Consider the following 24,880-nt stretch of genomic DNA (forward strand, 5'->3'; position numbering starts at 1 on the left):
GCCAATAGAATAGTTTCCTGGACAAGGATGAATCTAGAAAGGACATTTAACAGAGATTGACCTTGGTTTTGTTACAGTGACCTGAGAATGTCAGTCAGTAGTCTTGCATAACCACCATATAGTGAAACTTCTCAAAATCTCCATGGTAACATGCAGAGAACTGTATCATAGAGCACGGTGTATACCCACACGGACTGTGATCCAGGAAGAAAGATCTGTTTCCACCCCCACACACACTTGCTCACGTTCACCTCTCTTCTGCCCCAGCGCCTCAGATACCTGCTTCCTCACTGGTAATTGTGATGATATTTTTCTCTAAAATCTATTTTGTAACTCATTCTTTCTGATTTTACTCTCAACCCCCTTGGCGCTTACATTGGATGAGATAAAAGTGTCACTGTAGGGCTGTAAACTTTGTTGTGATGAAGACTCTTGAGACGTAAAATGTATGCTCTAACTGCAGACCTGTGCAGAACGCGAGTTTGATCTTCAAGTGACTTTCGTTCCAGCCTTGATATTCAGATGCAGTGCACTAATTTGCCCTTATTGGCATCCTGTTTAATAGATATTCCTAAGCCTTTTTCCAAATAGTTGCATGTTTGAGGAAGACTTTATGGCTATCAAAGTGTTTACTCATATAATCCAGTTTGATCCTCACCTTGTGAGATCGTCAGGGCCGGTAGGATGGTTGTCATTTTACAGATGAGGAGACATTTTCTGATGGGAATTAGCCAACCTGTGGCTGAGCTGGAACCAGAACCCAGGCCTGTGTCCTTGTACTCAGGTTGCCACAGCATTCCTCCTGATGTGCCCAGCAGCAGGCTTCTAAAGGACCTGAGCCCCCTCTGCCAACAGTGTCCCCTCTTAGCTACTGGTGTGATATGTAGCTGTGAGTCCAGGGTGGGTATTCACATATTTTCGATTGACCACCAGCTTAAAACTTCCCATGCCACACCACACTGCCCATCTATATATTACTTTGCAATCATTATCATAAGCTTAAAACTTCCCATGCCACACCACACTGCACATGTATATATTACTTTGCAATCATTATCATAAGCTTAGAGACTTTACAGAAAGTCGTCCTTAAAGTGTTGCTAAAAAATATAGGTCAATTACAAAAGGAGACATGGTCCTTTTCTTTTTTCTTCTCCCCTAATTATAAACAATAAAAGCCACAGCTTCATGCTGAGAAAGGATCAGCAGGGAATGATGGACATTGTGATTTGGCAGCTGACATTTTCTAACATGATTTTGTTTTACATAAGTAGTTTGAAGTTTTTGTTGGTTATTGTCTTGCCTTCCTTTCTGACAAAGTAACATTTTTTTTGCCCATAAAAATCAAGTAGAGCAATGCATTTCCCATGCCGTCGTGTCTCCCATCTTGTAGCAACCAGTAGTGTATAAAATGAAAGTCTTCCCACCTTTAAGCAAATGTTTGTTTTCCTTATTAAGAAAGAAGTTTCATTTGAAGCTGGAGGTTTTTTTTTCCTAACTTATATTAGTCCATATTTTAATAGTAGTTTCCTAAAGAAAATATCTCAGCATGAAAAAGCAAGGTGATACTATATTTTAGAAAATGCCCTCATGGCTTAGATTTTAAAACTAATGCTTTTGTTAAGTGTTTTGGCTTTGAACAAAAAGCCTCCTTGAGAAACGCTATTTCCCATTGCACGGTTTCTTAACTCTCTGGGTTAAAGTTCGTATTTTCTATCTTTTTACATCTGGCAAATAGACCCAGAGAATGTTTTTGTTTCATCTAACAGTTATTTCTACAGATCTGACCAGGCTGCCTGCACACATCTATATTTTTACACTGACAGCATAAGTGTATGTTTTGTATTTCATTGTAGCGAAAGCACTTCACGTATGCTTATAGTAGGTTGAAGTATTTTTAGATCAAACGTGAATCCACCATGTTCCGTAAACTAAAATATATTTAATCTTAACAGAGTATACTTGGCGGAATGGCTGACTTTAAACATAAGCTTAAACAAAATGATGAGTTCATAATTATTTAATGTAAACTGAATAAGGTTGAAGGGCCCTGCAGGGTCGATTTCAAAGTGCTTCAATGATTACAAATTATAGACCGCCTTTCCAGTAAAACACTACTCAGGTGGGAGACTAGCTGGCAGCACTATAAAGTACCTAAATGGTTTCAGACTAAAGAATCTGTTAGTTTTGTAGGTTTAACATCCTTGACACTTAATAGGATTTGAGATTCCATTGTAGCAGCAGCTTTTATTGCATGACACTTTAATTGAATGCCTTAGAGTAAAATGAAATTAACAAAGGCAGTATTAAATTATGGATGTTCCTTTTTTATCATTTGGCTAAGAATTCTGCGGAGTTTCTTTTCTGATTATATTATTTTAAATTGATTGATGTGAAAAAATAAACACACTATCTTTAGGACTAGGTATACCATCTGGTCCAAGAAATTGTGAATAAAATGAATACAGAGCTGGAGTTGGCCAACTTGTCTCTCCTACGCTTCAGAAAGCAATTACGTTAGGGCTAGAGTAGTTTAAAAATGGCCTGCAATAAATCCCCATTCTTGAGTGGATAAGAGCAAGGCAGCTCCGTCTTTTGCATTGTAGCTACCAGAATGACAACGTATTCTGAGACAGATGGGAGACATCGAACAGTAGTTGATTTTTGTTTGTGAAGTGGTGTGGCAAAGCCAGTAACCTATTTTTTTTAAAAAAAAAAAACAAGGACAAATTTAACCAAATCTGACCTGTTTATATTTAAACATCGGTGATTGGAAAACCGTTTTCATATTTGGATATTGACGATCTTTATATTGCTTCTCCTTTTCTCTAATACTATTTAAAATAAGAATCTGCAACTAAACTAAAATATTCAAAAAATAATAAAGTTAAGATGATGAGTCCGGGCGCGGTGGCTCACGCCTGTAATCCCAGCACTTTGGGAGGCCGAGGCGGGTGGATCATGAGGTCAGGAGATCGAGACCATCCTGGCTAACAAGGTGAAACCCCGTCTCTACTGGAAATACAAAAAATTAGCCGGGCGCGGTGGCGGGCGCCTGTAGTCCCAGCTACTCGGGAGGCTGAGGCAGGAGAATGGCGTGAACCCGGGAAGCGGAGCTTGCAGTGAGCCGAGATTGCACCACTGCAGTCCGCAGTCCGGCCTGGGCGACAGAGGGAGACTCCGTCTCAAAAAAAAAAAAAAAAAAAAAAAGATGATGAGCATGATGTCAGCAAGATAGTGGAATCAGAAGCCTCAGTCTCTACTCCCCTGACCCCCACACACCAAAAGGTGAACTTGCAGCTGTCCACAGACTAGAATATCTTTTTGAAAATGTCAACACTTGGAAACGAGCCTGAGATACCTGTGTGATCTGCATAATTCAATGAAATCTGAATTAGGAGAGTGAGAAGAATGGTCTCACTCTGACCACACTGCCCCTTCCCATCTCCCAAGTTGGCACAGTGCCAGACTGAGAGGATTTCCCTGGACCAACAGTTTCTGCCACAGGGAAAGAGAACCAGAGGCAGTCATCTAGTGATGCTAACGTTCCAGGATGCTTCACAAGAAGCCCACTCTGGTCTCACCTCTTAGGAAACACTAGGAGAAACAGCATGGCCACAGTGCCTAGGGTCAGGTAGAAACAAAGAAAGGAGGCAGAGGTCATGGTTACCAGCACATGGATCTTAGAGGTACCTCTGTGTTTCTGGCAGCTGTGGCTCCCAATAGCAGATACCAGTCAACTTCATAACCCACATTTAAAGCTAAGCTGGTTGCCTTCATTAACGTGGTAGGAATTTCTACCTAGCCTGAGTTCCTAGAATGCTATTCTCCCTGGCTAGCTTCAGAGCCCACCCAACAAGCCTGCACAGGCAGGAAGACATTCACCTCCTCCCATTTCAGGGAAGCAAAGGGGCTAGATCAGCTTGACCCAGAAAGTCGAGCTGTGGCTCCACCTAGCTAGAAAGCCCACCCAACCACCCTGTGCAGGCAGAGACTCCCACCTCCTGGCATTTTGGATAAATGCAGGGGCTAGTCTTGCTTGATCTAGAAAGTCAAGCAGCAGCACTACTCAGCCAAAAAGCCTGCCCAATGACCCCACCCTAGCCAGGAGACTCCCAGCTCCACAGATTTCAGAGAAATGAAGGGGTTAGATCAGCTTTACCTAGGAAGGCAAGCAGTAGTTCCACTCAGCCCAAAAGCCCACCCAGTGACCCGACGTAAGCAGGGAGACTCCCACCTTCATGGATTTCAGAAAAGCATAGAGGCTAGACCTGCCTGACCAGGAGGTCAAACAGTCACTCAACTCAGTCAAAAGCCCACCTCATAGCTCCACCCTGACAGGGAGGAAATCCTGAATCATGAATTTCCTAAGGAACATAGCCTCTGGTCTGCTTGTCCCAAGCAATGACTTTGCTAACCTCAGAGAACAGCCTATAGCCCTGCCCAACTGTAGATCTCAATAGTGGCCAAGGAATACATCCTGTAACTGGCCTGACCAGAAGTCATTGCAGTACTTAGCCAGCAATCTCATCAAACAGGGAAGCCAGGCCCACAACCCCACCTGACATCAGAGCAAAAGCAGCAGCCCAACTAAGTTGTGAACTCTCATGAAGCTCTGCCTGCCCAGGATTATCACCAGATGGCCCTTCCAGAATCACAGTCTAGATTAGATAGTGGAAATCTATTCCTGTCAAAGAACACCTGTAAAGGCCAGAAAAGGGGACTGTCTTCTCAAATGTGCAGATAACACAAGGATTACAATGACTCAAGGGAATCATGACACCTGCAAAGAAAACTAATAAAGCTTCAATAGTAGACCCCAAAGAAATGGAGATCTGTAAAACTGTTGACAAAGAATTCAGAATAGTACTCATAAAGAAGTTCAGTGAACTACAAGAATCTATGGATAGAAAATTGAATAAAATTTGGAAAACAGTACACAAAGAAAGCAAGAAATTTGACCAAAAATAGAAACAATAAAAAAAAACAAATCTTAGAGATGAAAAATACAGTGGCTGAGTTGAAAAATTCAATAGAAAGCTTCAGCAGAAGACACTGTCGAGCAGAAGAAAGAATTAGTGATCTGGAAGACAGAACATTTGAAATAATCCAGAAGAGCAAAAAGATAAAAGAATGATAAAGAATGAAGAAAGCCTATGAGAGTTATGAACACTGTCAAGAGATGACACCTTTGTATAATGTGAATTAAGGACAGCAGAGAGAAAAAAGCACCAGAAACTATATTTAAAGAAATAATAGCTGAAAACTTTTCTAATATAGGAACAGATGCCAATACCCATGTTTTAGGCTGTTGTTGCATTGCTGTAAAGGAATACCCAAGACTGGGTAATTTATGAGGAAAAGATGTTTCATGGGCTCATGGTTCTGCAGACAGTACAGGAAGCATGGTGCCAGCATGTGCTTCTGGTGAGGGCCTCAGGAAGCTTACAATCCTGGCAGAAGGCAAAGGGGAAGCACTTGTCTCACATCGCTAGAGCAGGAACAAGAGGTGATGGGAAAAGGTCTCCAACTCCTTCTAACAACCAGATCTTGTGTGAACTCATTACCATGGGGAGAGCAGCAAGCCACTCATGAGGGATCTGTCCCCATGACCCACACACCTCCCATCAGGCCTCACCTCCAAGAACGTGGATCACAGTTTACCGTGAGATTGAGAGGATAAATGTGAAATCATATCAACCCAAGTACAGGAAGCAGAGTTCTCCAATCAAATTCAACCCATAGAAGAGTTTACCAAGGCACATAGTAATACAATTATCAAAAATCAAAGACAAAAATTCCGAGAGCAGCAAGAGATAAGAAACACTTCGTATACAAAGGAGTACCAATACTACCATCAGTGGATTTCTCAGCAGAAGCCATGCAGACACTGAAAGAACAAGATGGTATATTCAAAGTGCTGAATTTATATTTATATTTTACAATAAAGTGTTGAATATGTAACGCAAGGGTATCATACTGCATATTAGTAGTTGAGAAAAATATTAAAATTCAAAATTTGAATTTAATATGTATTGCTTTTGCATTATTGTAAAGTTGAAAAATTCTAAGTTGAACTTTTATAAGTCAGGAATTGTCTGTACTTCCAAAAATCTTTTTACAAAGCCAACATTACCTTGGTACCAAAGCCAAACAAGAACATTATAAGAAAGAGAGTTAAAGGTCAGTGTTCTTGATGAACATAGATGCAGATTTCTCAACAAAATACTAACAAACTGAATTCAACAACACATTAAAGGGATCATTCATCATGATCAAGTGGGATTTATTCTTCGATACAAGGATGGTTCACCATACACAAATCAATAAATGTGATATATCACATTAATGGAATGAAGGACAAAAGCCATGTGCTCATTTTGTTAGATGCCGAAAAAGCATTTGACAAAAATTCATCTTTTTATAAAAATTCTCGGCAAATTAGTTGTAGAAGGAGTGGACTTCAACACAACAAAGGCCGTGTGAGAGAATCCCACAATTAAAATTATACTCAGTGGTGAAAAATTGAAAGCCTTTCCTCTGACATAGACAAACATGCCTATTCTTGCCACTTATATTTAACATAGCATTGGAAGTCCTCACCAGAGTAGTTAGGCAAGAAAAATAAATAGAAGGCATCGTAATAGGAAAGGAAGAGCTGAAGTTGTCACTGTTTGCTGATAACATGATCTTATATATATAGAAAATGCTACAGACCCCACCAAAAAAAAAAAACCCTGTTGGAACTAATAAACGAATATATTACAGTTGCAGGATACAAAATCAACACACAAAAATCAGTGGCATTTCTATATGCAAACAATGAACTATCTAAAAGGTTATCAAGGGAACAATTTCATTTACAACAGCTACGAAAATTACTTAGGAATAAGTTCAAACAAAGGAGTGAAGACCTTTACACTGAAAACTAGAAAATGTTGATAAAAAAGTTGAAGATACAAATAAATGGAAAAATATTTTATGTTGATGGATTGGAAGAATTAATATTGTTAAATGGCCATACTACCAAAACCAACCCTACCAATTCAGTGCAGTTCTTATCAAAACTACATCATTTTTCATAGGAATAGAAGAAACAATTCTAAAATTTATGTAGAAACAAAAATACCCCCAAATAGCCAAGGCAATCATGAGCAAAAGAATAAAGCTGAAGGCATCACACTACCTGGTTTCAAACTATACTACAGAGCTATAGTAATTAAAACAGCATGGGACTGGCTGAAACAGATCAACAGATGAAACAGACTAGAGACCCCAGAAATGAACCCATGCATATGATTTAAATTTATTTTCTTTTTCTTTTTTCTTTTCTTTGTTTTTTTTTTTTGGTTAGAGAAAGGGTCTCCCTATATTGCCCAGGCTAGTCTCAAACTCCTGGCCTGAAATGACTCATCCCTGAGCCTGTCAAAGTGTTGGTATTACAGGCATGACCCCCATGCCTGGCCTATTCAACTGATTTTCAACAAAGATATTATGCCAAGAATATGCAATAAGAAAAGGATATCCCCTTCAATAAATGACTTTGGGAAAAGTAGATATCCATACACAAAAGAATGAAGTTAGATTCTTACTTCACACCATATATTAATATAAAAATCAACTCAAAATGGATTAAAGTCTTAAATATAAGATGAGAAACTATAAAACTAATCTACAGAGTAAGAAAAAATATTTAGAAACCATACTTTGGATAAGGGGTTAATATCCAAAATATATAAGAAGCTCAAACAACTCAATAGAAAGAATACAAAAAATTCTAATTAAAAAAATGGACAAGGGACTGGAATAGACATTTCTCAAAAGAAGACATACAAATGGCTGACAGATACATGAAGAAATGGTCACATCAGAAATCACTAAGGAAATGCAAATTGAAATCACAATGAGAAACTACATCTCACACCTGTCAGAATAGCTGTTTTCAAAAAGACAATATAACATGTGTTGGCCAGGATGTGAAGGAAAGGGAACCCTGTTGGTGGAAATGTAAATTAGTGCAGCCATTGTGGAAAACTATGTGGAGATTCCTCAAAAAAAATGAGAAATAGAACTGCCATATGATCTGGCAATCCCACCTCTGGGCATTTACCGAAAAGATTTGAAATCAGTGTGTTGAAGACGTGTGCACACCAATGTTTACTGCAGCATTATTCACAGTAGCTGAGCTGTGGAATCAGCCTAAGAGTCCATCAGCAGATAACTGGGTAAAGAAAACGTGGTACTTACACGTAATGGAATACTATTCATCCTTAAAAATGAAGGAAATGCTTTCATTTGCAGCAGCATGGATGGAATCAGAGAGCGTTATCCTCAGTGAAAGAAGCCAGGCACAGAAAGACAAATATCACACAATCTCACTCATCTGTGAATCTGAAACAATAACTCATAGCAGCAGAGAGTAAAATAATGGTTATCGAGGCTGGAGGGTGGGGGGAATAGGGAGGTGATGGTCCAAGAGTTAAAAGATCTCAGGCAAGAGGAATTTTTTTTTTAGTTTTGTTGCTGAGCATGGTGAATATAGTTAATAATAGAGAATTGTACACTTCAAAGTGTCTGAGAGTAAATTTTAAAAGTTCTCACCATAAGAATCATTAAATATGTGAGCTGATGGATATGTTAACGAGATTGATTTAATTATTCCACATTTTATTAATCAATCATAACATTACTTTGTACCCCATACATTTATGCAATTGTGAATTGTCAATTTACAATTAAAAAGTATTTTCAAAGATTTTAAAAAGTGGAGGCTGGACTGCTTAGGACATGTGAAAACAGAAGACAAAATATAAGAAAACATTACAAATTAAATAATTATTTTCTTAACAGACTATTGGTGTAAATGCTTTATAAGTAACTGTCTACTGGATGGAAAGGGGGAAGAAATTTGAACATATCTGGTAAATTACTTAGTAAATTTAGGCATTTATTTAAAAAAAAATACACTTGCTCATGATTATAAGACTTCTGAGCTCAGATTGTGAGTGTGAGGAAAGAGGAGACAGCCTCTTAAAAAGGTCCCAAGCATGACAGATGCAGATCTTGGTTGAGAGTTGTTGCTTCTGCTGTCAGTCACATCATCATCCTGTTAAATGTGAATTTATCTTTTTTCCCCTATGCAAAATAGTGAGAGAAATATTCCTTGAGGAAATGTGGTCTTTATTTCAAATTAACAGTTTTAGCGATTGCTTGCTTTTATTAGGTCATGCATCTTGTTTTCTGGATTTGTCATATAATGCAGTTGTGCTCGTGTAGGTAACACAAATGTGGTCTCTTTGAACATAGAAGCTGGGATTGCAGTGAAATAGAGAGAGCGAAAGTGCTCTCCTTAAGTCCTCCTTGTTTGTTCTCTTTCTTTTGGGTTCTGTCTGTTAATTTATCTCTTTTACTCTTTCCCTTCTTCCTTCCATCCTTGTCAAAAGCATTTATGTACTGGACAGAAGCATGTCTTGGATGACTTAAAGTGCAGCCCTGTTTTGTAGTTATTATCTTCCTGCATAATAAGTAATCTCTGTTTTCCACTTGTTGCAGAGTTAAACACAGCTTTCTAGTGAATCCTCACCCTAGAGTAGAGGAATACGTGATATTAATTGAAATAGACTTCCTACAGGGCATTTTGTAGCTTTTCTCCTCTTTCTCACTTAAAAAACATACCAGATAGTTTTGTGTTCAGGACCTTAAATCCTAGCCTAGCAACGGTCATACATTGTGAAACAAATAATGAGAGAGAAGGTTATAGTTAATACTCTTATAAGCCTCTCCATGTACAAGAATACAGACAAAAATGCAAAGAACAGCACTGGATGTCTTCTGATTAATCAAATTATTTCTGTGTCTCAGTGAATGGACTGAAATACAGTACAGCCTATTTGCCTTAATACCGATGAATTTTTATACAGTGAGTACGTTCTCTGGTCTTTTTCTCGCTGATGAAATGGATGTTTGTGTTAGGGCTAGAGGGAGAAAAGAGGCGTGATTTAACTGTTACCTGTGCCTGTGCTTTACAGTTTTCCTTTTTAAAACAAGTTTTGAGGAATACACCTCGGTAGTACTACTGTACAGCTGGCACCCTACAACTCCCTTTGGCTCCTGCAGCTCCCCCACACCCCCACCAACACACTAATCCATATAAAAGTCATATTACTGGAGCTCCACCTCATCTTTTTCAGATATCAAAGCAAATAGAAGAAATAGAGTATAAACATTGTTCTCTTACTCTGACAAGCAGAATTGATAGACATCTTTCCCCATACACTTTAGTGGTGGTTGACATAAACATTGTTTTTGTTTTCAGGTTGGAAATAGGAAATGAGACTTGACAATATATTCGTGTCACTAAAATTCTTTATTCCAGAAAAGACTTAGTATTGAAATCACACACACACACACACACACACACACACACACACACACACTCCCATACAGAAAACTTTTCTCAGTGGACTATTGCCGTTAGTCTTTCTCCTTTTTCCCACCTAATTACCTGACATTGTTTGAAAGATAATTATAATTGACAAAATTATTTTTTCTATACATAAGCATCTAAACTCTGATTAACTCAGGAAAACACAAAGAAAATAGTTACTTCATTTGCAGAAAAGCAAAGGTGACAGAGCGTAGCAACATGATGCAGCTGATCACACTGGAGCCTTGTGCACACGCTGTGTTCCTCCCATTTGAGCTTACCCTAGAGATGAACCTGTGTAAAAAGAGGTAAATACCAACAGGAACTGAGAGCAATTCTAGAAAAACTAATGGCATTGGTTAAAAAAAAAATCCCTTCTCCTCAATTTCTGTGTCTAAGTGATTCCTAAAGTACCATTTTATAAATACGAAGTATCATTCCTCTGGAAGACCATTCCTTTTTGTTTTTTTCAGCTGGCCCGAGCCCTACCTGTCCTTTCCTTATAAAATACTGGCCAGGTCATCAGAAAACAGTTAACTCAGAGATGCTCTCTAAAAAACTCTCTGAAGTTGACCTGCATGGCAGAAGTGTAGCAAGTCAACTCTCTCTGCTGTCCCTCACCTGTTCTGTAGCTTTGTGAAGTCCTGCATGAAAGCATTTCAACATAAGACGTGGTTTCATTGGGGCCCTTCTACCTCAGGACCGCTGGAGTTTGTATGGCTGTCAGTGTCACATGCGGTTGCACAGAAGCCACTCTCAGAAGTCTGAAGAGAAAGGAACTGAATAGGAGAGTTAGTTTCTTAGAGAGCCCGTGGGAGGACCGGAGGGCAGGCTCTTGGAAGTGACTCTGAGAATCATGCCAAACAGCTCGTGTGCTCCGGGGAGTGGACAGTCTCAAAGCTGCAGCCCCACCTCCCGGCCCGGGACCTCACTCCTTCTGCTTCGATTGAAGCAGGAAGCCACTCTGCACTCACTGGCTCTGGGAGAGAGTGCTCGGGCACCAGCTTCTTCAGCAGTGTCCCCGCCTCTCAACAGTCATGGGTGGCTACTGCTGCCGGACACCAGACACCTTCATACGCACGCTTGTCAGAACAGCAGAAACCTGGTCTCACCTTGTGTCTCCCTCCATCGCCCATAACAGGGTGTGCGGTCAGTGTGTGAAACTCCACAAGGAGTTTGAGAAATGCAGTCTCGTGCTTTCTAGCTTCTGCCAGGCCGGAGAGTCTGTGCAGAGGGGATAAGGTGGGGTAGAACAAGTCTGTCTGTGATATCTACCACCCAGTCTGCATTTGAAGTGGAATTATCTCCCGAAGGCAAAGAAATCACATGTCCTATTAGAATTCTGCATGCTGTGTGATTCTGATGCCATGATTCCTATACCTTTTGGTCAGGGGTGTCCAATCTTTTGGCTTCCCTGGGCCACGTTGGAAAAAGAATTGTCTTGGGCCCCACATAAAATATACTAACACTACCGATGGCTGATGTGCTAGGAAAAAAATCTCATAATGTTTTAAGTAAGTTTATGAATTTGTGTTGGGCTGTGTTCAAAGCAGTCCGCGGGTTGGGCAAGCTTGCTTTAAGTCATTTGTGTGGTGTGTCAAGTAGTGCTACCCAAAGGTCCCTCAAAAAGCATCATTCGCCCTTGCCTCTCCCAGTTCCGAGAGAGGAGACAGAATTCAGGGCTGAGCCTGTAGGCTGCGTGAGTCTCCTGCTCAGTCCTGAGAAGAAGACCTGGGCATGGGATGGGATTTAGATGTAGAATAGAACTGTTTACGGGGGCTCCCCTCTGTTCCCTGAGCATGGGTTGTCATTGGTTGGCACAAGTGCCACGGCTGACAAGCTCCTTTCTGAGGGAGCAGAGCTTGACCATATACAAGATATGATAATACTGTTTGTCAAGGATACAGCCTGAAAGAATGAAATAGATTGACCCTAGGGAAGGCCACTAACCGGGGAAAGTAATTCCACTTGTAGCTGCTTTTTTTTTTGGACGGAGTTTCACTCCTGTTACCCAGGCTGGAGTGCAGTGGCATGATCTCAGCTCACCGCAACCTCCACCTCCCAGGTTCAAGCGATTCTCCTGCCTCAGCCTCCCAAGTAGCTGGGATTCCAGGCATGCGCCACCACGCCCGGCTAATTTTTGTGTTTTTAGTAGAGATAGGGCTTCTCCATGTTGGTCAGGCTGGTCTCCAACCCCCGACCTCAGGTGATCCACTCGCCTCAGCCTCCCAAAGTGCTGGGATTACAGGCGTGAGCCACTCTGCCCAGCCTGTAACTGCTTTTCTACTTTACAGGTATAAATAAGTGTTCCTAAGCAACCCTTCTTAAAATTAGTTATTTTAATGGGACTTTTTGTGTTAGGTTATTTTAGAAACATTGGTCACGTGTATATACTTTGGGAATTAAAAAAGAAAAGTGGTGACAGGTTGGAAAAGTGTATCATCCAACTTCTGATCAAACATGGAGCATTAACTCTACACTTATATCATCTCTTCCTCCTGAAACCCCATGAAGATGATAGAAAGACAAGAAGATCAAGTGTGAGGTACGAGGGAAAAGGGATTGGAGAGGAGGCAGCAGGAGGCTGTAGATGAGATGGCTTGTGAGACCTTTGCAGGATAGAAAGCACTTGGAGACACAGGAGCTGACCAGCGGAACGGGGACTGTTGCAGTCAGAGAGCCTGCAGATCAGTTTACCCGCGCACCCTGGACAGGCTCGAGGACAGGCTGTGTTGGGGGGTTGGGGGCGGGTAGGGGGCAAGTGGCAGGAGTGGTGGGAAGTTTACACACAGCATGGTCGCCAGCTAACTCTGCACCATTTCCTGCCACCACCTCTCCCCCTTCCCGAGGACCAAATAGTTATTCAGCGGAGAAGTTGAGAAAGACCCCGTAGTCCAAATGCCAGGTGTAGCAGAGTGGGAGGTGAGGACCTGAGAGGAGAAGTCTGCAGACTGAATGGTGGGGCCACTATCCTATTTTCTGCCGTCCTTCCTCAGACACCAGCAACTGATGTTTATGTCACAGTTTAGAAGCCAGGGGGCTGTCTCTGAAGAAATGGAATGGGTTCAGAGAGAGGACTTTCAGATATTTATATCTGAAAACAGAAATTATACTAGGTATTTCAACAGAGGGATTTAACACATGGTAAAGCCCCTCTCCCTTTTCCCGCCCTCCAGTCTCCTGTGGCTGCTCAATGGCAGGTTCTAACGAGGAGCCAGCTGGCAAAGGGGCCTGCAAAACCAGTCTGCAGAGAATAGTGTGGAAAGGTGGGTTTGGAGCTGAGAAATCAGAAGCGAATGGCCCACACAGAGGCAAATACCAGATCACATGGTTAAAAAGTCTAACAGTCGGCCAGGCGTGGTGGTCACACCTGTAATCCCAGCACTTTGGGAGGCTGAGGTGGGTGGATCACTTGAGGTCGGGAGTTCGAGATAACCCTGACCAACATGGTGAAACCCCATCTCACTAAAAATACAAAATTATCTGGGCATGGTGACGCATGCCTGTGATCCCAGCTACTCGGGAGACTGAGGCAGGAGAATTGCTTGAACCCGGGAGGCAGAGGTTACAGTGAGCTGAGATCATGCTATTGCCTGGGAAACAAGAGCGAAACTGTCGCCAAAAACACACACACAAAACCAAGTCTGGTAGTGGTTGCTTTTGGGCTGTGGAACTTGGGGCTAGGGAGGTTGGGACAGGGGAATATTCATTTTGGGGGCAGAAGCTAAAGTGTGTAGAAATTAACTTGACAGTAATCAAAGAGGTAGCCACCCTGCTTGGTTTGAATCACAGCTCCGTCACTCACTTGCTGTGTGACCTTGGGCAAGTTACTTAACCTCTCTGTGCTTCAGTATCCTCATCGGTAAATTGGGTCTAACAGCAGTGCCTAGTTCCTGGGGAGTGACAAAAATTATTTAATACTCTTAAAGCTCTTAGAACAGTGACTGGTATGTAGTAAATATTACATAAGTGGTAGTTTAAAAACAACAAAAAAAAAAACACCTGTACCATTAAGGGCTGAGATGGCAGACAAAACCTGAGCTTAGGTGAAGAGGAGTGTAACCTAGCAACATTGTGCTGGACTAGATGAATCCGCCTCGTGGAACTACAGCCAGTGAGTAGGAGTTGTGGAAACAGATTTAATCTTTGGGAACTGTTTTGAATTATTTAGGTATCGGGGCTCCGTATTTTACAAGAAGCTGAGGCAGAAGCCATGTCATATGGACCAGCTCATCATGGTGTGAGCATAAGGAAAGACTGACTTCGTGGCAGATGGTCATTCTAAGGTTCCCTCAGGGTCATCAGTCATGAGCCCAAAATAGCACGATGCTGCAGAGGCTGCCATCCTGAGGGATGCGGCTGCCGATGTGGTTGCTGCCTGGCCTTCATCCCCTCAGTACCCAGGCAGAGACCGAGTGGGATGGTACCACTTGCTCCCTTGGGTGGGGAGGACGATTGGAGAAGGATGAGTGGGCTCACAACAGGTGCCCACTCAGCGGAATCCAATTTCCTGTCTCTGAAAGGAGAATCAGTTTGTGAAATTGACCTTAATCAAGGGTGATCTGTTCGGAGAGTGCTCTATGGATGCCATTCTTTTCTGGGTCTTTTGGCCAGTTATGGAACAAAGCTCCTCAGTACCTGGCATTGCTTTGACACTGGCATGGAGTCAGGCATGGTGGCTCATGCATGTAATCTCAGCGCTTAGGGAGGGTGAAGCGGGAGGGTCACCTGAGCCCAGGAGTTTGAAACCAGCCTGGGCAACACAGGGAGAGTTTGTCTTTCCAAAAAATGCAAAAAAAAATTAGCCAGATGTAGTGGTTCATGCCTGTAGTCCCAGCTACTCAAGAGGCTGAGGCATGAGGATTGCTTGAACCCGGGAGTTCAAGGCTGCAGTGAGTTATGAGTGCACCACTGCACTCCCGCCTGGGCAACAGGACGAGACCCCCTTCCTAAATAACAAAACAAAATAACAAAAAAAACCCTTGCATTAACCTTAAACTGGGCCTCTCATAACTGCCTGGCTCCAGACCATTCCAGCCCCCCACTTCCATGCCCTAAAATGTCCAGATCCTGACCTGCAATTGCCTGAGGCCATGGGTCCTGAACCCCTTCACCCCTTCACCACAGACTCAACTGCATGTGCCTTTCCTCCTCCCTCTTTGCTTTCCTCTTCTCTTTCTTCCATCATTTCTAGTGAACATTAGATAATTAATTTTGTTGTTTTCCTAAGATCTACGTTCTTGAGGGCATGCACCGTGACTTATATAACTTTATATTCACTGTTCCCCTGCCCAGGCAGACCCAGCAGAAAACTAACCTGTGTCATTCATGTTAGTTGATGAATAAGCGAATAATGCAAATCAGGCTTTTATGCTCTCACTCTCTAACCCACTGCCATCAGGTGCCTGAATATTGCCTTCTCTCCCTTTCTCCCTCCCATCCATCCATCCATCCATCCATCCATCCACCTGTCCATCCATCCATCTAACTACTACCCCCTCCTCCTGCAGTCTCCCATCCATCCATCCATCCATCCATCCATCCGTCTGTCCATCCATCCGTCCAACTACTACCCCCTCCCCCTCCAGTCTCCCATCCACCCATCCATCCAACCCATTTGCTTCTCTGTACCTCTCACTCTTGAGCTTGTTGACTTAACATCAGGACCATTGATGGTTCCTGCCTACAGTCCCCATCACCTTCCTCTAGCACTGGCGTTTTAACATAGAAAGCTTAATGAGTGCATTCAGTTCTGCTTTGGAACAATGAAATGTTAACTTTGTAATAACTCAAGCCTTTCACATAAGGGGGAGGAAAAGATTCATTTCACAATGATACTGAGAATTGTGTAGGAGCTAATGGAAAAAAGGTCAAAGGATTTTAGATCCTAGAAATGGGACAATGACAAAAATTAGTACTATTAAGAAGAGTGATGTGCTGTTATGAAAAATATCTACCCAAATGTCCCTTTAAAAAGTTATATTTCCATGTAAGGGTTATAATTTTAATATTTTGGTCTGTTTCCGTAAAAGACATTACATTTCTAAATTTGAAGGCAAATTTCCAATATTAAAAGATCCTGTCAATGATTCATTTACTCAGCTTTAAATCTTGTCTTCCATTCCTCTTTGAAAAGACCTGATTATTATTAATAATCAGCTCTGCCTAAGTTGTATTCTCCTTGGATAGAAAAGCTATGTATTTGAAGATCTTATGCTCTACAAGAAAATCCTGCCCAGCGATTGACGTGACAAACGCTGAATATTTCAGTGCACAATGACGGTGGCTTTCAGCTCATGAAAGGCTTCCTCGTGCCTTAGATAGTCTTCAGGTTTCTTTCTTAGTGCAAACTTTTAAGTGGACCCGTGATCCTCTGCCCTTTACAGCTTTTGTATCCTTCTTGTGTCGATTCTATAGCTGTTGTCAGCAACTAAGCAATCTTGTTTTTTCTTTAGATTTGGGAAGCTACAAACTGTATCTTTCTAAACCTTCCACTCCTCTGCCACTTACTGAGCTGTTGGAAGCAAAGTTTAAAGTATAAATGCAGTGTCCACATTCACAGTACTGGATTCTTTAATGGCAGTGAGTGTGGTTATTCTGGCATCACAGAAAGGGAGTGGACTTATGCAGGGGTGGGGGTGGAGAGCCATATTTCTGCACAATGGCAGTCACCTTGGAAGATGTAGGTGGATCTACCTAAGCCTGATGAGGACCTCATTGGTGTCCGGGAGCAGGGTGCTCCCTGCCCTGTTCTGGGGAATGTGAAAATCCTCTACTGCTGAAGGCCTTTTGTTCTAAGGGCACCTCCAACCCCCACATCCTAGTAGTCGGCTGCCCTCAGACTTACCACATGCCAAATATGTTTCATCTTTAAGAAGCATGCTATCTTTATACAATTGAATGCACTCTTTGAATCTATTTTACGTTTTATGATTTTACCTTTTTTAAAAAAAGTATCATGAGGTATTTCAGATATGCAAAGCAAGTATAAAGGAGAACGGCGTGAATGTGGACATACCCAGCTGACCCCTTGAAGGTGTAAAAGATCAGCAGCATGGCCGAATGTCCCTTCCCACATCTCCTGTCCCTCAAGACACAGACACTGACCTGAACTTGCTATTTAACATTCCCCTTTTAGCTTCTTTTTAAATTTTTATAACGATTTTAAAAATAGGAAGAAAAAAAAGGCATATATGGCAAGGGCATAGCTTTGGGACATGCTGTGGTTTGAATGTTTATTCCCTCTGAATCTGATGTGGAAACCTAATCCCCAATGTGGCAGTATTGATATGTGGGGCTCTTAAGAAGTGACTGGGTCATGAAGGCTCATGGATTAATGGAATAATGGGTTCATGGATTAATGGTTATCATGGGAGTGAGACCAATGGCTTTGTAAGAAGAGGAAGAGGGACCTAAGTTCGCACCCTCAACCCCCTTGCCATGTCAGGCCCTCTACTGCCTGGATTCTGCAGAGTCCTCACAGCAAGAAGGCCCTCCCCAGATATAGTCCCTCGACCTTGGACTTCTCAGACCCCGTAATTGTAAGATATACATTCACTTTCTGTATAGATCACCCAATTTCAGAAACAGAAAATGGATCAACACAGGATGCATCCATGCTCTACGTGGACATCATCCTCTTTCCTCCATTTCATTGGCCCTGAAGACATCTGTTCTAGATCCTCTGTCTGTTGCCCTTCATGAATTTTTGGACACTAAACTTGGCCTTTAAGAAAATATTAATGAGCTTTTTATTTAAAAAAAAAAAGATCACTATTCATGTTGTTGTTACTATTACAGTATTAAGGACGAACTCTGTGCCAGGCACTCTGCTAGAAACTTTGCAGATGTAGCTCCCTTTATTTCTTGCAGCAGTCCTGCAAGGCATCGTTCTTCCTGTTCTCAGATAGGGTGACAGAGCCTCAGTGAGGGCAAGTAGCTTGTCCATGGTTAGTGGCACAACTGACTCTAAAATCTTTTAACCACATCAAGTTGCCCTAGCATACTAGACGAAATGTGTTAGGACTCAGACATGTCTGTTTTACATGATACTTAGATGGGACCATGTGCTGTGGCTGTGATTTTTTTTTCCCCCTTAGAGGCATGTTGGATAGGGTGTCTTGTAAATTAATGCCACTTGGCATGGCAGGCCCCACGAGACTTGGCTTTCAGTACACCCTGGCACCTCCTGCAGTATTGCTGGAAGGAGTCTGATTCAGGCCTTATAGATCATTTATATTACAGAGAAAGGCATGTGAGAGTCTGGAAGCAAATATAAAGTGCGCTGAACTCCTTCAGAAATGGGCTCTGAAAGGAATCTTAGTGACTTTAAAGAGCAAAGCTAGGAGGATTGGCTGCGCTCATGGAAATTTTCCTTTTACCCCTCACTGTATCTGGCTGTTAAATGCCTGTCTTCCAGCTGGCATTCTCTTTCTTATTTATCGTGAAGAGTTAGATTATGTTAAATTGAAAAGTGACACTGATGTATTAGAACCCATCACGTTAGATTGAGGACAGATACCTGACTTAAAATGTGCCCTTTCTGAAGCATCAACTCTGAAAGTATTTGGTGTTCTTCCCATATTATACAGTTATACGATAAAGTCACAAGAATGGGTTTATACCCATTTGTATTCTACTTCGAGTCAAGTAGTAAAAATCTGTGAAATTGACTGATTTTGCTCAGAATAATATCAGAGAGGGCAATAAATCTAAACTTTGGCTCTCATAAAATGTGTTTCTGGGAAGGTAATGATTCATGATCAGATGCACACACAGACATCATGAGAGTGCTAAGAAATAGATTCATAATCTTTGGCTTTAAAAATCGTAGACTGTTTTTTGAGCTCAACCAGCCTGCTCTGGAGTTCGACAATTCTGTGTAGTCTTTCTCTTTCTTTGGCTCTCTTGATTTGCTTACAGGCATAAGTTCAGCCTCCTGTGATGTGTTGAAGAGGAAGAAATAATGATTAAAGTGATAGAAAACAGTTCTGCAAAATGAAAGGGAGAATTGAATTTGTGTAGGTTAATAAAGGCAAGACTAATGTAATGCGGTCTTTAAGTATAAGTGAAAGCTATGCTAAAGCATTTATCCTCCGTGTCCACGGATGGTCAGAGGAAATGGAAGGGGCTTAAATAGAAATGGAGAGGTTTCTTTGGCTGTGAAAAAGAATTTCTTAATCAGGAAGGTAAAGGGCATAGCAGTGGATCTCAGAATGATACTCTGAAGCTGTTTCGCTGTTGCTTCCCTTTGCTGGACGCAGAGCTCCTCAAGGGCAGGGCGACCCCTGCACATTCCCTGCCCAGAGCAGTGCTGGTCCCATTCATCAGTAATGCCCCTCTCCCCCCCAGCCTACAATCCATTCCAGGACCCCACCTGCTGGCTCCACTTTCAGTACATAGCCAGGCGCAACCACTTCTTACCATCTCCCTCGTGACCACCTTGGCTCAAGCCAACATCTCTGGGCACTGGGTTCCTTTGGCTGCCCCCAGGTTTGATAACAAAAATGGCTTTCATTGTTTTTGATTTGTTTCTTTTGATTATTAAGGCTGAGTATTTTTCAAATATGCAGTATTGATTATTAATTTTAAATGAATGTGTTGTTTGCTGTACACATTTTTGCCCATTGGCTTTTCAGTTTTCTTGTTTTTTAAAGAGACTAAAGTTATCAATGTTATATAGTCAAGTATATTACATAAATTTTACATTTAGAAAGTAAGTTCAAATGTAGCAATTAGATATATACTTAACTAAGTTTTATTTTAGATACACATAAATGTGATCATATATTTTCTTTTTTTTTCCTTTTCTTTTTCTTTCTTTCTTTCTTTCTTTTTTTTCTTTAGAGACAGGGTCTTGCTCTGTGTCCTGGGCTCTGGAGTGCAGTGGTGCAGTCATAGCTCACTGCAGCCTTGACCTCCTGGCCTCAAGTGATCCTACTGCCTCAGTCTCACAAGTACCTGGGACTACAGATGTGTGCCATTGTACCTGGCTAATTTTTAAATTTTCGTAGAGATGGGGTCTCTAACCCCTAGCTCCAAGCATTCCTCCTGCCTCGGCCTCCCAAAGTGCTGGGATTATAGGTGTGAGCTGCCACACCCGTCCCATATATACCTTTTAAAAAGGTTCATCTTTTCCTGTTTTCCCTTTTCGCTTCTTTCACCTTTTCTTTTTTTCTCTTTCCCTCCACATATATAAATAAGCTAATGTATATTTTCTTATTTTTCTGTATAGTCATTTAGCCCTATACAGCCATGTACATGTACAAGAGGGGTGTGTATACACACACACACACACACACACACACACACACACACAGTTTTTATTGCCGATGTTTTAAAAAATTAGATCATATTTTATATGCTTTACTCTATGTTTTCATACTTAATACCTAAAAAAAATCATGGAACCCCATTTACATAGATCTAATTTATTCTTTTAAATATGTATAATCTCCCATGCTATGTATGTCATAATTGATGAAGTTTTTCCACAATTTCTTTTCCTTTGGAAAAGCCCCCTGGAATTTTATTTTGCTGTATGGCATGAGTTAAGGATCTAAATTTTTTTAAATGGCTAGTGAATGGTTCCTTGATGTTTTCAGAACTGTTTCTCTCCTGTTGATTTCTAGCTCTTCCTTTATTATATATTAATGATTTATATCCACTATGGTCTGTCTTTCAGCTCACTTTTCTGTACAGATGTCAACTTTTTGTTGTTGCTTTTGAGATCATTCAAATCACTTTTTTATGTTGAAATAACTTGAGACTTATAAAAGAGTTGCAAGAGAGTTCTGGTTTTCCCTTCACACAGATTTCTGTAATGTTAACATCTTACATGACCCTAGTCCATTCATCAAAACTAAGAAATTTTCATTGGTACAGTACCATTTACTAGAGCCTTTTTCCCAGTTTTTTTTCCTGATTATCTTTTCCTGTTCTGGGATCCTTTCTGCACTCCCATGTTGCATTTAGTCACCATGTCTCTGTAGACTTCTCCAATCTGTGACCTTGTCTTCCATGACCTTGGCACTCTTTTTTTTTTTTTTTTTTTTTTTTGAGACAGATTCTGTCTCTTTTGCCCAGGCTGGAGTGCAGTGGCGCGATCTCAGCTCACTGCAAGCTCTACCTCCTGGGTTCACACCATTCTCCTGCCTCAGCCTCCCGAGTAGCTGGGACTACAGGCGCCCGCCACCACGCCCAGCTAATTTTTTGTGTTTTTAGTAGAGACAGGGTTTCACCGTGTTAGCCATGATGGTCTTGATCTCCTGACCTTGTGATCCACCCACCTTGGCCTCCCAAAGTGCTGGGATTACAGGTGTGAACCACTGCACCCAGCCAAACTTGACACTCTTGATGAGTGCTGACCCGTTGCTTTTTAAAACGTCCCTCGATTTGGACTTGTCTGATGGTTTCTCACGATCAAGCTGACTCATCATCTCAGGGCACTTGGCGTCAACATGACTTGTCACTGGCAGCGACAGGGTGGTCACTCGGCTAAGGCGGTGTCAGCCAGTATTGTTCCCTTTCCACATTCTGTTCTTAGAAGCAAGTCTCTTAGCCCGGCCCACATGCAAGGGGAGAGTAGTTAAGCCCCCTCCTACTAGAAGGAGAAGTGTCAGTGACTTTGTGGACACACATTAAAACTACCACAAAAAATTAATTAAATTTTGCGTAGATACTTGGAGGTTATGCACATACTCTGCTTTTCTTTGAAGTTGTGCCCACTAATTTTAGCGTTCACCAGTGGATCTTGCCTGCAGTAACTGTTTCTGTGGATTTCTAATGGTCATTTTTCTCTTCCCCTCATTCTTCTACATTTATTAATTTGAATTCTCCTGCAAGGAAGGTTTGTCTCTTCGCCTTCAATTATTTATTATTCAATCATTATTTGTAATTGTATGGATTTAATGTCATTGGATAACCAGTAGAATAAGTCCCTCATGTTTCTTCTCCTCTTTAAAAAATCTTGGGCCTTTTTATTACTTTTTTGTTTCTTCTTATAAACTTCAAAATACTTATTTTTCGTTTTCAGGACATTCAGTTGGTATGTACTTTGAAATTGTGTTAAATCTTCCAACTGAATCTGGAAAGAAATAGTATCTTTAGGATCCAGTAATTCTTCTATCTCAAATTGTGGCATGTTCTTTCCATTTTCCCAGTTACTCATTTAGGCCCCTTCTAAGTTATTCACTTAGGCTTCTCGGTGTTGAAGGCATACGAATATGTTAGACCCTGTTTATCCTGGCCAGGTGCAGTGGCTCACGTCTGTAATCCCAGCACTTTGGGAGGCCGAGGCAGGTGGATCACGAGGTCAGGAGATCGAGACCATCCTGGCTAACATGGTGAAACCCCGTCTCTACTAAAAAATACAAAAAATTAGCCAGGCGTGGTGGCGGGCACCTGTAGTCCCAGCTACTCGGGAGGCTGAGGCAGGAGAATGGCGTGAACCTGGGAGGCGGGGTTTGCAGTGAGCCAAAATCGCGCCACTGCACTCCAGCCTGGGCGACAGAGTGAGACTCCATCTCAAAAAAAAAAAAAAAAAAATGACCTCGTTTATCCTAAAATTGCCATACTGGGCTCGTGACTTCTCTCTACCCTTGCCTGAGTTTACTTGCTCCTCCAAATGCTAAATTTGGAACTAGGTGCTTTTGATTTGTATGTCTAAATTTGACTAAATTACTGTAAAGTGAATACTTAGTTCATGGGGTTTTTTAAAATTTATTCTATGCTTTTCTTTCTTTGTCTCCTGGGTGAAGTTTTGGGTCCTTGTCTCCATGAGATGGAAAAATATTCCTTTCCCAGAACTTTGTTACTGTTTAGATTACTATGCAGGTTCTGTGATAACCTTCAAGTATAGGTGATTTTATAAAACAGATGTTTTTGGTGAGATTGTAGCAGGGTTGTGGGTTTGGCTCTCAGTCTCCAACGTTTCTGTTGGGCAGGATTTGCATTTCATATCCTGGCATACTGTATTAGGAAGCTTCCAGCCTGTGTGTCTAATATTATGGGGGAACACAAAACTTCCATTTCCTAATTTTTAATCCCTTGTTCTCTCAATTCTTAGCCAGCTGGCACTGGAGTAATGGCATGTAAGGATCTTAGTTCCCATTATTCATTGGTGAGCATTTCTACCCTGACTGATGTGTGCTCAGCTACACTAATCGCCATCTTTTACTTACTTACTTACTTACTTATTTATTTATTTATTTATTTATTTATTGAGACAGAGTCTCACTCTGTCACCCAGGCTGGAGTGCAATGGCACAATCTTGGCTCACTGCAACTTCTGCCTCCTGGGTTTAAGAGATTCTCCTGCCTCAGCCTTCCAAGTAGCTTGGATTACAGGTGCCCACCACCACACCCGGCTAATTTTTTGTATTTTTACTAGAGACGGGTTAACCAGGATGGTCTTGATCTCCTGACCTCATGATCCGCCCGCCTCAGCTTCCCAAAGTGCTGGGATTACAGGTGTGAGCTGCCTCGCTCGGCTGCCGTCTTTTATTTTTTTAAAGTCAAGTACTGTTTTCTCTGCCATCACATACCAAATGATTCAGAGTTTTTCGTCTGGATCACTCCTAAATATACACACACCCAATCCCTGAATCAGAAGACCAAAGTCCTTCATACCTTTTGAGATAGCTTATTGACCTGTAGAAACTGTGGTGCATTGGAAGCCCGGGTATACCAGCAGCCTGGCCCAGTTTTTGTCTTGGCCTAGTGGACTTGTCCTTGTTACAGTTCTTGGTTCTAGTTGAACACCCTTTAACTTTCTTTTTTACACGTTTTTACACCCTTTGTCCTTCCCACCCTAACAGAAATGTCCTGAACTCAGACATTTGCACAACAAATTGAAATTTTTGGCAAATTCCTTTCATTTTCCTAGTATATTCCAAAGCACAGTTAAACTAGCCAGACTAACCTGATGGTTTTTGAGCAAGGGAAGACATAGATGCGGATGATTAAATAAGACACATCACTATTTCATTTATGAGACATTATTGTGTAATTAGCTATTTCATATAACTGGGTTTTTAAAATAGCTGAATGTAATATTTCATCAATATAACCTTTCCCCCATTCTTTGTGGTTGGGTTAATGAAAACTTTTCTAATATGTCTTCACTTCTCTTTGGAGCATAGTGCATATAATTTATTCTCTTTCCAATGTCATTGCAAGGTTATAATTAAAAGCATGAATTCCCTGTTTCATGACCCTAGAGTCTACTGAATGTTTAATCCTTTTTTAAAAAATTCACTAACTGACCTCAGCTGTGCATTCTGAGTTCTTACGGCTACATTTATATAATTTACTTATGACCATTGTAGATTGTCATTGTGCTCTCTCTCTATCGTCCTCTCTCCTTAGCCCTAAGGGTTGAGCAACCAGATCATCAGGTTTGACGAAAACAGGAAGGAGGGCCTGGGAGGGATGGATTGATGATGAGTCCTTCTC

General features: G+C 41.4%; 1 protein-coding gene across 1 annotated transcript in view, besides 1 other annotated feature; it reads left to right on the plus strand.

Annotated features, from left to right (window-relative positions):
- SDK1 (sidekick cell adhesion molecule 1) overlaps positions 1 to 24,880 on the plus strand; it is a 967,749-nt gene that overhangs the window by 475,500 nt on the left and 467,369 nt on the right. The gene's annotated exons all lie outside the window — the stretch shown is intronic.
- Positions 10,913 to 11,413: an enhancer, noted in NCBI's record as "H3K4me1 hESC enhancer chr7:3827296-3827796 (GRCh37/hg19 assembly coordinates)". NCBI's record gives its function as "activates a minimal SCP1, AML or CMV promoter by ChIP-STARR-seq in primed H9 embryonic stem cells {active_cell/tissue: H9 hESC(primed)}" and the evidence as "EXISTENCE:reporter gene assay evidence [ECO:0000049][PMID:30033119]".

Source organism: Homo sapiens, chromosome 7 (assembly GCF_000001405.40).
Source record: "Homo sapiens chromosome 7, GRCh38.p14 Primary Assembly".
NCBI lineage: Eukaryota > Metazoa > Chordata > Mammalia > Primates > Hominidae > Homo > Homo sapiens.